Below are 17,420 nucleotides of genomic sequence, written 5' to 3' on the forward strand. Positions count from 1 at the left end.
TAGGAAGAGACTGAAAGGAGATGAAGAATAAGCAGTCAAAGCAATGCTTTAAAGACAGTAAACAAATCAATGAGAGGTAACATTGTCCTTGGGAAGAGCTGACTGTTGAACCCAAATTTCTGCTCCACAATAAAACCTCAAGTTCTTATCTCCAGCACTATTTTGAAAACAACAACAAAAAATTTCTATAGGCCACTGGTGATCCTGGCAAGACTGATGTGATGCTTTAATCTCATGTAACTGGCTATATCATTCTCCTGCTGTGACCAGGCAGTCTCACTGAAACCCTTTAAGCTGCATTTGTAGCATTTTATAATGTTGATACTTCTTTGAATTTCATCAAAGTGGAAACTGATAGATTCTAGCCAGCTATATTGCAACCTTCATTTCCTTCATTTAAGACATTCAATTTCTGTCAAATGAACTATCAAATGAAATTATATAGAGCGTGAGTCACTATTATAAATATTTTGGAGCCATTTACTTGGAGGCTGTTGATAAAAACAGCACTTTTCTACACCCAAGAAAGGTTTCCCAAATGACTAACCAAAGAAACAGCATTATGAGAATTGTTTTGTGTCCCATCAAGTATTGTGTAGCCTTATGTTTCATTTCTGCTAACTCTTAGTTCCCAATATAATAGGGACTCCACTGTGGGGCTAAGTCAGTGCTTGCTAAATTATTGATTCACTTCAAATAAAGAAATGCCACAACATTCTGCGAATAGGAAAGGATGATTATAAGACATAAGGAGTCTATACAGCCTTGATACCTAGTACAACGCCTGGCACAAATTAGTCTTTTAACAAATATCTGTTGAATGAATAGATAAATAAATGTGCGTAAGTTGAGAATCTGATGTTTATGAAAGACTAAGCACTGGTGCATTGAAAGTTCCACACAAATTTCTTAAGTCATCTTTTGAACACAAAGCAATAATAAAAGTGCAGCAGATTCAAAAATAATTGGATCTAATTCATGTTCTAAAGCATTGTGGAATTAATAAATAAAAATTTAATGCCATTTTGAGTTCTAGTTATGCCGTGGAAGCCTGCTGGTCTCTTGGTTTTAAAATACTTTTCCAGAATACTAAAATCAGAACTCTTTTTCTCATGTTGTTCTTTCCTTTGTTTCCATAGGAAACAGTGACTTCCAGGCATCCAAGATGACACAACATAGATTGCCAAATTGCATGCCACCCTGCAGTTGCCAAGGAGATAATGTATGTCATTCCTACAAATAACATGTTGCTCATGCCTTCATTTCCTTTATCTAGCTTTTTAAGATATTCTTTGCCTGAACTGAATTCTGATAATGTTCGCTGTGAACTGATGGAAACATTCCTTTTTTAAAAATTTGTTTACCCCATTCCCCTAAGGCACTTGATCACATCACACACGCCGTCTGTGGAAGGTCTGGGCATATTTTATGCCGATTTTGGAACCAGTGATTCAGCAGTTTTCACTGAAAAAATAAATGCATCCTGAATTCTGTCTGCCTGCGTTCTAAGTAAAGGTCCAATTAAATCCACACCTGGCACTAACATATTCCAGTTTAAAATGGCCTACCACAAAAGCAGCTGCACTTAGTTAAATTTATAGGGGAAGGAAGAGGAGGAAAGCAGGAAGGAAGCAAAGGGGAGAAAGAAGGATAGAAAGAAGAAAAGGCGCAAAAAAGGAAGGAAGGAAGTAAAACAGGAAGGAAAGAAGAGAAACATATTTATTGAGCACCTGCAGCATTCGAGATTAGACATCTGTAAGATGAACAAACAGAATAAGAAAAAGTCAAGATCTTGGCTGACATCATCCCACTAGCAAGAGGCAGAGTCATTATTTGAACTTGGTTGTATGTGACTTAAAAGCATGTGTTTCCCAGTTAATCTTGTGCTGCATAATAAATCTCCCCTAAACATAGTGGCTTAAAGCAACAGCAATCATTTTAATTTTATCTCTCAAGGGTTTGGAGGCTGGCTGGACTCAGGTAAGCAGCATTCACTCAGAGTCTCTCATGTGGTTTCAATCAGAAGGGCTGGGTTGGAATCACCCAGAAGATGTCCTCACTCCCAGGCCTGGCAGTTGAGGCTGGGGCTGTCAGCCAGAATGCCTTACAGTATATTGGAAATAGCAGCACCAAATAAATTACTGCATCCTTTTACTTACCCCACACTGGGCTGCATTCTTTTTATTTTACTTTATCAACTACTCTCAATATATCAAGAGGCTTTTGGCTAATGTCTCTATTTTCACAGCACCCTAAAATTATTCTAATAGTGAACCTGGTAGACCTAGACTTTGAACCCCATCCAGGTGATCTGAAAAAATCTTAAGTCCTCCACTGAACATCCAATCTGTGTGTTACCCTGAAAATAATCAGATTTGTTTATCCTTTGGAAACCTATTAAACTTTATCATAAATAAAGAGATCCTCTGCCAGAAAAGAGGATATTAATGACAAAGAAATATCATGGAGGAAACACAGTAATCTGATTGTGGGGAGCATTCAAACTAGGGAAGAATATTATGGTGAGCTAGTAAAACAGAAGCAAATTACATCTCATTGCTTGCATTGCTGAGAGTAGATGATTGTGCTCACTCTACTGTGCTGCCAGATTGGCCTGAAATAAACATATATAATATTTTATTTCATGTAGCTATTTCTGAGATGAACAACTCTGTAATGAATTAGGCTGCACTACACAGTACTGAATTCGGTCTATCAAGCAGATTACCATTACCTCAAACAACAGCAGGGTTCTACCCCAAATGTAACACTTGGATTCATACTGTCTCTCCCCAGTAAAAGTCCAGCATGTATTTTCATTCAGGCCAACAAATATGATGAAACGTTAAGGTATCTTTGATGACTGCTTTACAAAATAGACCTAAAAATGGAAGCACTTAGGTAATGCACATGCTAGATCCCAGCAGGTGGAATAAAGGACATCTTATTCAGGATTTCACCTCTCACCTTCATATTTGTGATTTTATCCTACTTGCTTCAGCCCCAAATTTTACTCCTTTCCATATATTTTCTTTTCCTAAATGAGGACTATAGTCTGGTAACAAAATCTCTGAGAACAAAGCAGCAGTATTTAAAGACAGTATTTAACCGTCTTACATTATAGAACAATTGGCCTAAACCTTGCACAGATGTTGTAGTGTAATAAAGACTTGAGATCCTTCTTACCCCTCAATTTTATGTTCTCTGAAGCTTAGAAACTTCATAGTGCTATGATTTCTAAAACTGTGAGTAGCTAGGTGCACTTACTGGCTACAAAGTGACTGGACAGTAAGTTAACTGCAATCAAACATTATCACACATTCTTACGGGATTCTAAAATCCTTTTTTGATTGTACTACTAACCTTTAAGCCCATTATAGTATGTCTATTACAGTCACATATATCTAGATTACTATTTGGAAACATTTAAATTAAATACTTTAGCAAATGTTCACTGCTAGAAGACCATCTTTTACATTTGTTCCCTTGTTAGGGTGATTACCTAATCTATTGGTCAAGCAAGGACATTTTTTGTTCAGAACAAATGCTAACCTGGGTAGGCCACAAGGACAATAGTCATAAACTCCAGCAATTGCAGGCAAATAGGGACAAAATCAAACTATCCATTGTAGATTAATTGGAAAAAAATCATTTGCTAGGAATTTGAAGATCACATTGGAAAAAAATCTGTATATTTCATTGAAAAAATGTTTTAAACTTTTCCATATTTTATCTCAATAATATATTGGTACACTTCTTTGAAACATTTGTAGTAATGAATTTGATAAAATAGATTTGACTGTGATGCAAGGGATATTACCTATTGCAAATGTGCAAAAATGAATGATTTATTGAATTTTGAAATATGAATGCAATTCATAAGAAACACTGTGGGAAAATAAGTATAAAGAAAAAGAAATTAGATATTGAAAGCTAATCAAGGAGAGATTCATTTTTTTTAATTAACCAATAACAAATAGGATTCACCATATAAAAATCTCACTCTACTTTTATGAATTGTTGGGGATGCTAAAATAACTTTCTGTCAGCAGATCAGGTCCCCATTGACCATGATCTATTTCAGTCCCAAAATGTATTCTTGTTCTATGTATAACAGGTAACCTCCTTGGTGCCATTTTTAGATCAGCCCGTTGGCAAACATTAGGCAGAAAGCATGTTAACATTTTTCAGGATCAGCTAAGGCTTTAGCACAGTGGGTTTCTTGCTTGCAGAAGCAGTGATGGTGAGCTAAGCACAAGAGAGAGTGCCTGTTGAAGCTCAGAATCTATACAAGCATAAACTGCTTCAAGTCAAAATAAAGCAAAGCAAACAAGCTAACAAAACGATCCTACTGAGACCATTAGGATGCCCAGAGAGGATGTGCCCCCATTAGGCCCAGGCACACAAAGTACGGCTCCAAGGTTTTGATACTCTCAGCTCAGCCTAAATCTCTGTCTTCAAAACAAATAACCTAACGAATTTAAAAATGCAAATCACTATCATCATTCATGACAAATTCTTATTAATTATCTCTTTTGCTGTTAAAAAGAAGCGACTAATAAGGCAATTTTATGTCAGAGCTGGGCCTCACCTTTACTTCAAAAGACCATTTTCCACCTCTTTAAAAGCCATTTTTCTCTAGCAAAATGGCATTTTCTAATGGCTCAACCTAATAAAATTTAGCTTTTCTCAAAACAAATCTCAGGCTCATTTCTTCATGGAAGAAGCAGCATGTGAAAGTTAAGTGCCTAACCCAGGCTTCCACTTATCATTGCCCTCCCACGTTTTTTTAAGCTAATGATATTCTCTAAGAAAATAAATAAATAAATAAATAAATAAATAAATTACTATATGCTTGTCCAGCTCTTGCTTACTCTCCAGGGAAGCAAGAAGCTTCAAGCTCCAAGAAAATCTCGTTTTTACTCCTTCAAAGCAAGATATCCTTATCAGAGCTCTTCCAGCCAAGCTAGCCCTCAGAAGAGTATCTGATTATTATTAGAGCAGGCGAGTATTAGATTCCTTCCTTCACTCATAGCCAGAAAACCTATACTGGGGCCCCAGGTATCCCTGACCAGCAGAGTTGAGCATGACTCTTACTTTCTATCTCATACCTATCTGCACTGGGAGACAGAGACAACCGGCATAATAAAACTAAGGCTCAGAGGAAAAGCCAGTGGAATACAGGAATAGCACTTGCTTCATATGGGTGAGTTCCAAAGAAATTAGGTCGTTTGTGGTTAAGAGAAGAGTTACACAGATTTCCTTCAGTTATCCAAAACCTATATGTGACCCTCAAAAAGCTAATTAACAATGTTGAATGGGTTTGTGGGACTTTTTACTGTTATTATGTTATCTAACCAGTTAATATTAATAATATTTTATATATTATTAAATATATACTATGTATTTATAATTAATATTTTACAAAGACTACATTGTATTCATACAGTCTTTCATTCATTGACTCAATCAACAAATATTGGGTGCCAGGCCACTAAATATTGGTCTTCAAGTTCATACTCTTCAAAACACTTTTCAAATAAATCTGCCCAATAAACTAAACCCATATGTCCTCATAGCTTGTTACGCTGGAGATAGTAATATTCCCACTTTGTAATTAAAGAGTTGACTTTCTGCTTTTTGAATACAGAGTCCTTGCCACTCTTTGCCAAATTCTCTTTGGAGATGTCAATCCCAATCTCCAAGTGCCAGGGACCTAGACAAAGAGAAAGTGCAGATGTGCTAAACGGTGGGGCTTCTTCTTCCTCTATAGCTCTTCCGTTTTCCTAATATTAATATGTATAATAAAATACTAGGAAATTTGTTATATATATATATGTGTGTGTGTGTATATGTATGTGTATATATATGTGTGTATATATATGTGTGTACGTGTGTGTGTGTGTGTGTGTACATATATATATAATTTTCAAGCGGTATCTTGATATCCACATTAAACTGACTGTACTTAGAAAAACTTTTCAGGGAGGCAAAAATAGAGTGCCCACATGACTACTGCTTCTGTGAATCCCCTAAGAATGGCCTTCTCTCTCACTAGGAAGCCTAAAACTGTTTGCAATTAGACAACAAAAAGCAATTAAAAGTATTTATTTTTTAAAAGCTTGTTTTAGCCAACCCACCCTCAAAAGAGAGACAGAGAGTCTGAGAGAGAAGAAAAATTTAGTGGCCTACATTGTTTGGGATTGGTGAGACTAGAGAGTATAAAGAAATCTCCATACTGGTCATCGATATGAAGATATCAGAGTTATAAAAATTGAACTCAAATTCAAGAGCTATAGACTGAGGGAGAAGGAATATAGTCTTACAGAACAACTAAGAAGTTAAAAATTCAGGATTATTCATCGTGGCAGCAAAAGACAGTTTGGGAAAGTACATGATGTATTAGTCAAGTAAAGAATCTAGGAAGCTAAAAAAATCCTGTAACATCTGAAATACTAGAAAATATTAAGAAAAGCATGCCATGCCATACAATCTGAGTGAAAAGTGTCCTCTTTCTAAAACTGTTGCAAAATTGATCAAAATACATAAAAATTTTCTTTTTCCAAAGACATTTTTCATACATAATATCCTCTAATTCATTTAAGTGAAATAAAATAAGTCATACCCAAACTGATGTTTCTTGAAACTTCTAAATCATCTGAGGCTGAGCAAAAAGCTGGAGATTTAGCGATGTATATTATGTTGTGGGAAAATTAGCTCCTCAAAATAGCAAAAGGGAAAATTGGCAGCTTAGTCAAATACACCAGAAGGAATGAATAATCTTACTCAGTAGCTTAGGGATGAGAACTTGGTGGAAAATATAACTAAATGTTGAGGAAAGTTGTTTAAAGCAGTTGTTTATTTTTGAAGCTGATTTTTTCCATTCTAAAAAGAAGTGCTGGCCCACTCACATTGCGATATAAATGGAAAAAAAAGATTATAAAATAAATAAAATATTGAAGTACCAGAAAAAAACCTTTTAATAACAAAATTTCACCAATGGAAATGTGTAGTTTTTTCATATATTGCTATCACCAGCAACCATGTCTATATCTCAGTTATATGAGGAATGAAATCAATCAGCAGGCATTTCTTGAGCACCTGGCTATGTGTTAGGAAATATGTGCCAGATGTGCTGGGGAAGTGACGGAGTAAATGGAGAAGTAATAACAATTCCAATAATATGGTAATTGTTTATAAATTAGATAGCAATTCTAGAATGATTCTTAAGCTAGACCATAAACATTACAAACCAACTCATGATATTCATAATAATGAGCTGGCTTATCCTTTCTACTCTCCTTTATCTGCTGACGATCAATAAAATACACCTCACCACCAATCTGAGTTCTGCCAGCATCCCTCACCCCCTAAAGCTCAGCATGCTTCTTTGTAGTGTCCCTTGGTCCAAATACAGTGTCTGTTCCTCTGGATTATTTATATCACTATACTCTGTCTCCTGATGTAGTATTTCAGGGCAAAAACTACCTCCTAAACTTCTTGGAAATTTTTCCCACTTTTAAAACAACAGATGTTGTAAATAAGTATTGTTAATTGAATATGTTGATGCACATAAAATAGATTATTTCAAATCAAAATAATGGTAATATATTCTAAAGTTTTCTAAATGTTTAAAATGTCACAACATTTTGGGAAAACTGTGGATTAGTTAGTCTACAATTTGTTAAAATAACTGTGCAAAATTAATTGGTGATTTTTAGAGTTGACAAAATCCACATGTATTTTATGAAAAGTAGATGATCTAAAAAATGTGATTAATTTTCTCTGACCGCTTTCTACGTAAACCAAACCACTGACTAAGGGTATGGCTTGTATATAAATGGGATAGAGTTTCAAAGTATGGCTTACACTTCTAACAATGTAAACATTAAGACAATCTTCAGAAAAATTGTGGATAGTTGGGGAGTAAGTATGGGGCCAGGGACACAGCAGAGTTCAGCAGTGGTTGTGATGGGTTATAACTGAGGGACAACAGTCTGTAGTGGTTGTGAACCTACACTTTGGATCTAGACCCCCAAGTTTAAATCTGGTCTCTGTTACTTAACAGCTATGTAATTCTGGGCAAATCACTTAGACCTTTCTGTGCCTCAATTTTCTCATCTGTAAAAAGTATTGCTGTGAAGGCTATATGAATATACATGAAGTGCTTAAAATATTCTCCAGCAAGTAATAAGCACAGTATAATTGATGTTTTTATTGCTGTTGGAGCAGTGTAGATTTCTGCTGTAGAGGTGAGTATAAAATAACCTGAATATTTAATTTGATCTGACTCAGTGACCCCACAAAGAGCCATCCTTCCTCTAATCAGCTCTTCATACATCATTTGTACTAAAGTAAGCACTTGTTAAAGAGCCGGGCACAGTGGCTCATTCCTGTAATCCCAGCACTTTGGGAGGCGGAGGCTGGTGGATCACCTGAGGTCAGGAGTTCGAGACCAGCCTGGCCAAATGGTGAAACCCTGTCTCTACTAAAAATACAAAAAATTAGTTGGGCATTGTGGCAGGCGCCTGTAATCCCAGCTACTCAGGAGGCTGAGGCAGAAGAATCACTTGAATCCGGGAGGTGGAGGTTGCAATGAGCCAAAATCGTGCCATTGCACTCCAGCCTGGGCAACAATAGTGAAACGCCATCCAAAAAAAAAAAAAAAAAGAGTGCAGAGCAAACTTGCATTAGTTACAAAGAATGGATGAGTTTGTACTAATACAGACATTTTTAATTAGATGTGAATTTAGACATAATCTTGCCTCACTTCATCATTTAACAGATGGAGAAATGGAAACCTAAGTATTAGGTTGTGTGATTAAAGCTACACTACACTGGAGAACTGAGAGAGACAAAATCCCTTAATGCCTGCCTGCAGTTATTTCTAGGTGAGAGGCAGCACCATGAATCTGAAACCATCCAGCTTTCTGATGCCAAACAGGCAGGGCTCAAATCCAAGTCTACCATTTACTACACATATGATCTAGGCAACTTACCAAAATACCAAGGCTCAGTTTGCTCAACCATAAAATTATGTGTATAACAACATAACAACAGATGGCAGAGTTTGTTATAAAGATTAGAGATAATTCATGTAAAGCAACTAGCACAGTATGTAGCACATAGTAGGTACTCAATAAATGATGATGATGTTGATGACATGCTGCTCTCTAAATTCTATGCTAAATACATTTCACAGCTTCTTCATTTGCCATGCTATTTATAAACACAGAACACATGAAAATAAATGAACAAATATACTATTCATCTATATCATCTATGTTTATACCACATAACACACATACACACCCTACCATATTATACTATGTTGCCTTACTCCCTCCTTGATCACCAGTTAATATACATAGCCTTCTTAATGCAACACTAAACTTATGGCATTTCCTTTTATGGAAAAGGAAAGAACCTAAATCTTCAATTTTGATGCGAATGTTGGCATTTTTATTTCCATGTGACATTATTGCCAATGATTACCAAAATATGCAAAATATTGGTTCAATAAACTGCTAAAATTGATTTCTTCTTCTCTTTGCCATTTTGAATGGTAATACTTAATTTATTACTTTTTCGCATTTCAAAGAGTAATTTGAAGCTCAACTCTGCTACAATGTATTATTACCCCTTCTACCTCTCCTTCACAGCATTTTTGTCACTATTTATTTTAAATTAATTGTTGAATGACTATCATTCCTACCACCCTCATATCTATGAAGGAAGGAGCACAGTATTCCCAACATACTGACAGTTGATAGGTATTTCATAAATATAACAGGTTCCCAGTATGTAACTGAATATAAAGGTTTGTATTTCAGGAGACAGGTTTAAGGTGGCAGTAAAAATCTGGCAGTAAGTATACTTGAATACTTGAACAAACATACTTGAATTCTAAAACTAATACTCAGACCATACTTTTATATAGTAAATACAGCCACTAACAAGATTAATAGCCTGTCTCTCTTATAAGGCTAAGTTCCTAGATTTTGTCTTTGAATCCTCAGTGCTTTGCAGGTGACTTCACAATAGTTGCCTGGTAAACACTTGCTATCTGAGTAGCTGAGATCTGTTCTAATGCTTAGCATATCATTTCTCTACATATGAAAAATAACCAAACTAACATAAAAAATGGCTGGAGATGAAACATAGTTAGTTCTAATATATTGGGCACTTAAAACATACAATTTAGTAATTGTGCATTAAACAATCACTCATTGCCTAAAGAGCATTACTAATTACAGAACATTCTGTACTTAAAACAGGTATGAGTTTGGGGAGGTACTTATTTATATAAAATTTAAAGAATGTCACTAAACTCCTGTCATAAACACACCTAAATGTCAGATGAATTGTCGGTACTGCCTCATGTCCCTTTTCAAACTGCCCAAAACCAAGTTTAAAAATGAAAGAAATAAGGACAAATGAATAAAATAAGATTTGTTGCATGTTAGCTTAAACTATTTAAAGAACAGCATTTTTAAGAGGAATTTTGAGAATGATTGAAGTGAAAATCTGAAACTGACCTAGTTTATATACCCTTTAGGAATGGAATGAAGCTTGTATATTATGATAGCCAACTACTCTTTCCTTATAATGCACAGCTGTTTGCGTAGATTTGCCGAGCCTCTTTGTTTTGCTTTTTTTTCCCCCAAAGTGTCCTCAGTTCTCTATTTCTGCCCATCAGCCAAGTCCAACTGCTGAAAATGTGACTCAGAACGCTAAGAATGAGTATTTGCTGTCCTAAATGGTCACAGAAATCCTGCTGCGGCTCACCACTTAACATGTGCCTTATGCTCACATTTATTTCAGGTAAAAAAAATTGCCATCAAAGACTCACTTTTTGAAAACTGGGGAAAAATATATTACTTTTTAAAAGTACCACATTTCCTATTGTCAGATTCCTATAGTTGGTTCATAACCAACCAATAAACAACTGTAATTGTTAAGCATTATGCTATGTGCTGTATGGGAAAATAAGTGTGCTGTATGAAGCTATAATTCATTTTATTAATGAGCTTGCCATAGCGCTAAATAAGTACAGCAATCACATAGGAAACAATTAAGCAAAATGCCACAGAATATTATAAAGTGATAAATGAGTTCATGCATACTTTATTTAAGATGCCTAAAGAAATAAAAAGTAATAATCACAGATACTATTTACTGGTCACTAAGCACTGTACTGGGTACTTTATGGAATGACATAACTTAATCCTTATTATAAGCCTTTCCAGTAGATTATATTATTACCCCCACTTTAAGGATCCGAATACTTAAGGCCATATCCTCAAGATCCTAGAGCTCGGTCAGAATGAGCCCCCAAAAGAAAATAAGGCTACAGTTTGACTTTGAAGGATAAATACAAAAAAAATTATCATAAGAGTACTTGAATTATTATTTATACATTCTTTTTTTAACATAATCTTTTCTTAAGGAGTCTAAGCAGAGAAAATAGCTCTTTACTTTTGCAAATAGAATTGTAAGAATCTATGGACTTTAAAATTGAAAAGTCTGGGAAGACTAGTTATGGTTAGGGTAAAATGGAAATAAAGAGAAATAGCAATTAGGTAGATCAAAAAGGAGATGCATACAGTAGAGAATTTTGCACTTGAACTTTGAAAAAAGAAAGTCGTTATTATGGGAAAGGACAAGTTGTCCTGCTATGGAAATCTCCACTTATCTAAACTTGAATTAATTTGCTTCTTCATTAAATGTGCTTCATCTCTCTTCCCTATCCTAGTGATTGATGCCACCACCATCTATCTCAGCCTCCATTTCCCTCACCCAATATATCCAATCAGTCATTAAGTCTTGAAGCTTAAAAGCATGAGGCTTCCTGTCTCAGCCCTGCCACTTACTAGATAGGTGACCTTGGGAAGATTATTTGATCATTAACTAATAATTTACTCAATGGTAAAAACATGGATAAAAATAGAACATATTTTATAAGTTGTTAGAATTCAAGTATAGACTAAATGTAAAAGTTTTTATTACTGGTACATAGAAAGCATTCAGAATATTAAGCTATTAATTATTCATAGAAATATGAACAAAAATATTCTATATTGGGCTTATTATCTTCTGTATTCATATATACATGCATCATATGTATATGTGTGCATTTATATGTATATAAAATACATACAGTTTAATGTCTATTCTTAATAGAGATATTAAATATTAAATGCCATAGAATTGTGTTTAAGAAAAAGAGCTCTGCATTCAGACAGAGCCAAATTAATTTCGATATTAGGTTTACCATTTTCTGTCTGTGTTATATTGAATATATCACCTAACAACTGCAAACCTCAGCTTCTTCATCTGTAAAATAGTTATTGTGAGCTTGAAATTGAGTAATACACATAAAGCACATTATATAGTACCTGACATAACTAATGTTAGCCATCTCATTATATCACTGATTTTTTTCATAAGATACAGTGTGCATATATTAATGCATAATTTGTGGCTGGATAAGAACTAAAGAATATACGATTGAAGTGATTTTTAAAAATATCATTTCATTAAGAAAGCTTTATTTTTTGTTCTATAGTTGTTTATTTTTCTAATTATTCTATTAATCCAAATCACCTGCATCCATGAGAGAGTAGGTACTCTAAGAAATGAGAATGTGAAAGGAAAGAACCACAAGAATGAGACTCAACTCAAATAAGAACAGGGACAAATGCAGCATCAAGGTAATAATCAGCAGAAACAGAACAGCTGGTTTGCCTTCTGAGACGCCCAAAGACATACTCAAGCTACCCATAGATGCTTTTAGATTCCACCAATTGGACTTTTCTCCTTGCTTCATGAATATTCCATGAACTATTCCAATTCCCAAAGAACCGAAATGATCACCATAAGCCTGTGCCAGGTTATCAACAACAGTCCATAGGTCACATATAGTGATGATGAATCAAACTACCAGTGAGTTACCCAAAGGTCTACTGAAATACCAAATGTCATGTAGACTCTAAAGACAATTCAAAGTGAGGAGTTCAAACACATTTTAAGCAAAGGCAGTATCATTTGAATAAGTAAATAGCTTTACAAGTTGGAACACATATTTGAATAAGCAAATTTCAGCTTCCTGATTGAAATCTCTACTGAAATTCAAAACTTATAATTCTTAGAATAAATATTTCTTTCTAGTTATACGTTGTAACATTTTGCTCTTAACATACTTTTTCCTTCTTGATTTCTTTCTTCTTATTTCTCTTTCTCTCTCTGTCCTTTAATTTTGATGTGTTCTTAATCTTTAAAGTTGTACTTGATACTGAAGGCATTTGATGACAAGTGATACTGTAAAACCAGCTGCACTCTGGCAGGGATCTAGAATCAGGAGGATGGGTGGGCCAACCCATTAATCACTGTCTTTAGACCACAGATAGTCTTCAAGTAAGCCACTGTGGAGATCTAAGTCATTACACATACATAGTCACACATTGTAGAGGATATGAAGCATATAATGCAAATTTTGACTATATTTATTTTAAAGTCTTTCCCAATGATTAAATGGTATAATCCTATGTCCTTCACAACCAAATTTGATCTTCTTGACCTTGGATGTGCCATTTGCACACAGCATGTGGATCATGCTGAAAAAGGAGTTACTAAATCAGAATGAACTTAGCCAATGGAATGAGCTCAACCAACCATTTACTGTAATGGCAATTGCTGTAGTCAGGAAGTATGTTTCAGGGAGCCCATGGAAGATTATCAATTCTCTTCCCATCTTTGGAAATTCAGCAGAATGGTTTTATTCTGATTAAGTAGTACTTTGAAGTGTTTAGAATATTCCATGATAGCACTAGTATAATGAGTCTCATCACTTTGCAAAAAAAAAAAAAAAAAAGAAAAGAAAACTCTATCAACTCACTATAACACAAAAATTATGTATATATATATATATATGTGTGTGTGTGTGTGTATGTGTGTGTGTGAGTGTGTCTCCAAAACTGGAATACGTGGACCTACAGCAATCCTGGCATTGAGGAGTGTTAGTAGCTACATGAGACAGTCAGTATATTTTATAATTTCAACATTATTAGAAAATCACAAATTGAAATACATTGTTTTAAAACTTAAAGTTAACTACTAGTGATATACAAATATGAAATAACTTCCAAAATACATGAAGAAAGAAAGAATAAGGAAAATTTTAGTGATAAAAATATAATAGCAAAATTAATATTAAGAAATATAAAAATCAAAAGTACTAAAATCAGATCAAATAGAATTTGAGGAAAAAACATTATATGGGAATAAACAATAACTTTATTTTATTACTAGAGGCCTGGAATGATATAGAAATAAAGCAGTTATGTGTCTTTACATGTTGAATATCATAGCATTAAAATGTATAAAATAAAAATAAAATGCAAAAAAATTAACATGATCTCATAAAATCAGTGGGAGAATTTTTCAAATATTTCTTGGTATTTGAAAAATCAAGATAATAAAAGGTTATATGTTAAACAGCTGAAATCATATTTTAAGTAAAATTGTTTTAATAATCAAAAATTAACTTTTTTCAATTTGGCTTCAAACATTTATAAGTTTTTAGCATAGCTCAGGGCACAGTTAAAATATCTGTAACATTCAAATCTGTATAGGTAATACTTCTGAACATATGCAATACTAATAAAAATTAACAATGAAGTTTTCAAAAATCCCATTTGAAAATATTATCTCCAAATAATTCTTAGTTCACAGATAAAAGTAGCAACATAATTATAGAATATTTAGCAAATAATTATAATAATATTACATATCTAAAGGTATGAATTATGGCCAAAGTTGTTTGCAAAGGAAATCTTATTGCAATAAGAAAAATTTATTATTTAAATAAAACATAGTGAAAATAAACTAATAAGAGGCAAACTCAAGGAGCTAGAAAAGGAGTAACAAAACTAACTTGCAGAAAGATGGAATTCAAATACAATCATGACTCAATAATTAGAAAATAGAAACAATGAAATAAATAAATAAATTCAAGACTCAAGTTTTTGAAAGTTTCCATGACAAGAATCTTCTATCATGGCTTCAATACAACAAGGCAAAGCAAAATAAAACAACAAGCACAGAGGGTATAAATTTACCTATGGGGAATGGGAAAGAAAATAAAACTGCATACTCAATCACTACTTTCTAAACTAATAAATAGTATGTAAAATTCATTCTGATGATTTTCAAAATCGTGATGAAATTGATTCATTTAAAGGAAAATATAAACTATCTAAACTTACTTAGTGGAAAGATATTAATTTTTCACCTGCACACACGCCATTCTTAAAGGGCCCAGTGCCCTGTAGGAGCAGAGCTATAAATTGCAGGACCCTGACCAGTTAATCCCTGCCAGGGTGAATGCCTAACCTAATTTCTTCAGCTGGCATCTCTCTGAGAACAGAATCCCATCCTCCTCATCCTCCTCCCGCACTTCCTGTCCCCTTTAGTGCTTTACTATTATCATAGCCCTATCACTATCTAACACATCACCTGTTTTGTTATTTATGTTTTTCAGTATTGTCTGCCTCCTCTCCCTTGCCCCACACAAGTAAATGTAAGCTCCACCTGGCAGGATATTTGTTTTTTGGTACACTATCGGCTCACAGATTCTAAACAGGAAATCGGGCACAAAGTTGGCACAAATGTATATTTGTTGAATGAGTGAATAAATCAATTAATGAATGAATAAGGGACCGATCTGTTATCTATAGAGAAATAAAGTTGATGATTTATATACGTGTTGATTTGGGTATATGCAAACAAAGGGAGTCTTAGACTACCATATGTGGCAAATACCATAGACTGTATTTAAGTGACCACAGGCATTTGTCTGCTGGTTCAAAAAAGAAGCTGAGTAGAGTGATAGTGAGAGAGAAAGAGAGAGAAGGAGATAGGTGAGTAGTGGAGGAAGAAGAAGAGGAAGAAGAGGAAAGAGAGTGAGAGGGGCGCTGCTTGTTTGCTTCTATGTTTTTATGAGGATCTGACTATTTTTGTACAGTTGGACTCCATGAAGAAAAAGATACTTTTTAATTGTTTGTTTGTTTTAAATCACAGACTCACTGATGTGTCAAATGTAAAATACAATAGCTTTTATTGGGCTTTCCACATTGTCTTAGATCTATCCCTTCAGGTCGAGAATTCCTAATTTTGACTGTACATTTACTACAACTATCTAACTTCTTGCTTATTGGTTTTGTTTTCTTCTTTAATACACAGGCACAGGCCCCACCCTGCCCCATGGGGTAGTTCTAATGTGTGGCCATGTTAAGAGCTGCTGCTTTAAAGACTCCACAAGAAAACTATTAGAACGGATAAGCAAATTCAGTAAAGTTGCAGGATACAAAATTAATATACAAAAATCAGTAGCATTTTTGTATGTCAATAGTTAACAATCTGAAAAAGGAACAAAAAAGTAATCCTATTTACAATAGCCACATATAAAATTAAATACCTAGGAATTAACTTTACCAAAGAAATGAAAGATATCTATAATGAAAATTAGAAAACACTGATGAAATAAATTGAACAGGACACCAAAAAATGGAAAAAGATTTTATGTTCATGGATTGGAAGAATCAATATTAATAAAATTTCCATACCACCAAAAGCAATCTACAGGTTCAGTGCAATCACTATCAAAATACCAAAGATATTCTTCACAGAAATAGCAAAAACAATCCTAAAATGTATATGGAACCACAAAAGACCCAGAATAGCCAAAGATATCCTAAGCACAAAGAATGAAACTGGAGGAATCACATTACCTCATTTCAAATTATACTACAAATCTGTAATAATCAAAACAACATGGTACTGGCATAAAAACAGACACATAGATCAATGAAACAGAATAGAGAACCCAGAAACAAATCCACACACCTAAGCAAACCCATTTTCAACACAGGTGCCAAGAATATACAGCTGGAAAAAGACGGTCCCTTCAATAAATGGTGCTGGGAAAACTGTATTATTCATACGCAGAAGAATGAAAATAGACCCCTATCTCTGCCATATACAAGAATCAAATCAAAATGAATTAAGACCACCTCAAACCATTGAGCTATTACAAGAAAACATTGAGGGAAATCTCTTGGACATTGGTCTGGGCAAAAATTTCTTGAGTAATACCTTAGAAGCATGGCAACCAAAACCACAATGGACAGAAGGGATCACATCAAGTTAAAAAGCTTCTGCACAGCCAAGTATACAATCAACAAAGTGAAGTGACAACTCATAGATTGGGAGAAAATATCTGCAAACTATTCATCTGACAAAGGATTAAGAATCAGAATATATAAAGAGGTCAAACAACTGAATAGGAAAAAATCTGATAATCCAATCAAAAATGGGCAAAAATTTGAATAGATAATAAGATCTGGCTGTGTTCTCAGCCA

The 17,420-nt window shown here is 34.3% G+C and overlaps 1 protein-coding gene across 3 annotated transcripts in view; it reads right to left on the bottom strand.

Moving 5' to 3' along the window:
* The window catches only part of GABRA4 (gamma-aminobutyric acid type A receptor subunit alpha4), a 74,682-nt gene that overhangs the window by 27,004 nt on the left and 30,258 nt on the right, over positions 1-17,420 (bottom strand). The window lies entirely within an intron of this gene.

The sequence above is a fragment of the Homo sapiens genome, chromosome 4, assembly GCF_000001405.40.
Source record: "Homo sapiens chromosome 4, GRCh38.p14 Primary Assembly".
Taxonomy (NCBI): domain Eukaryota; kingdom Metazoa; phylum Chordata; class Mammalia; order Primates; family Hominidae; genus Homo; species Homo sapiens.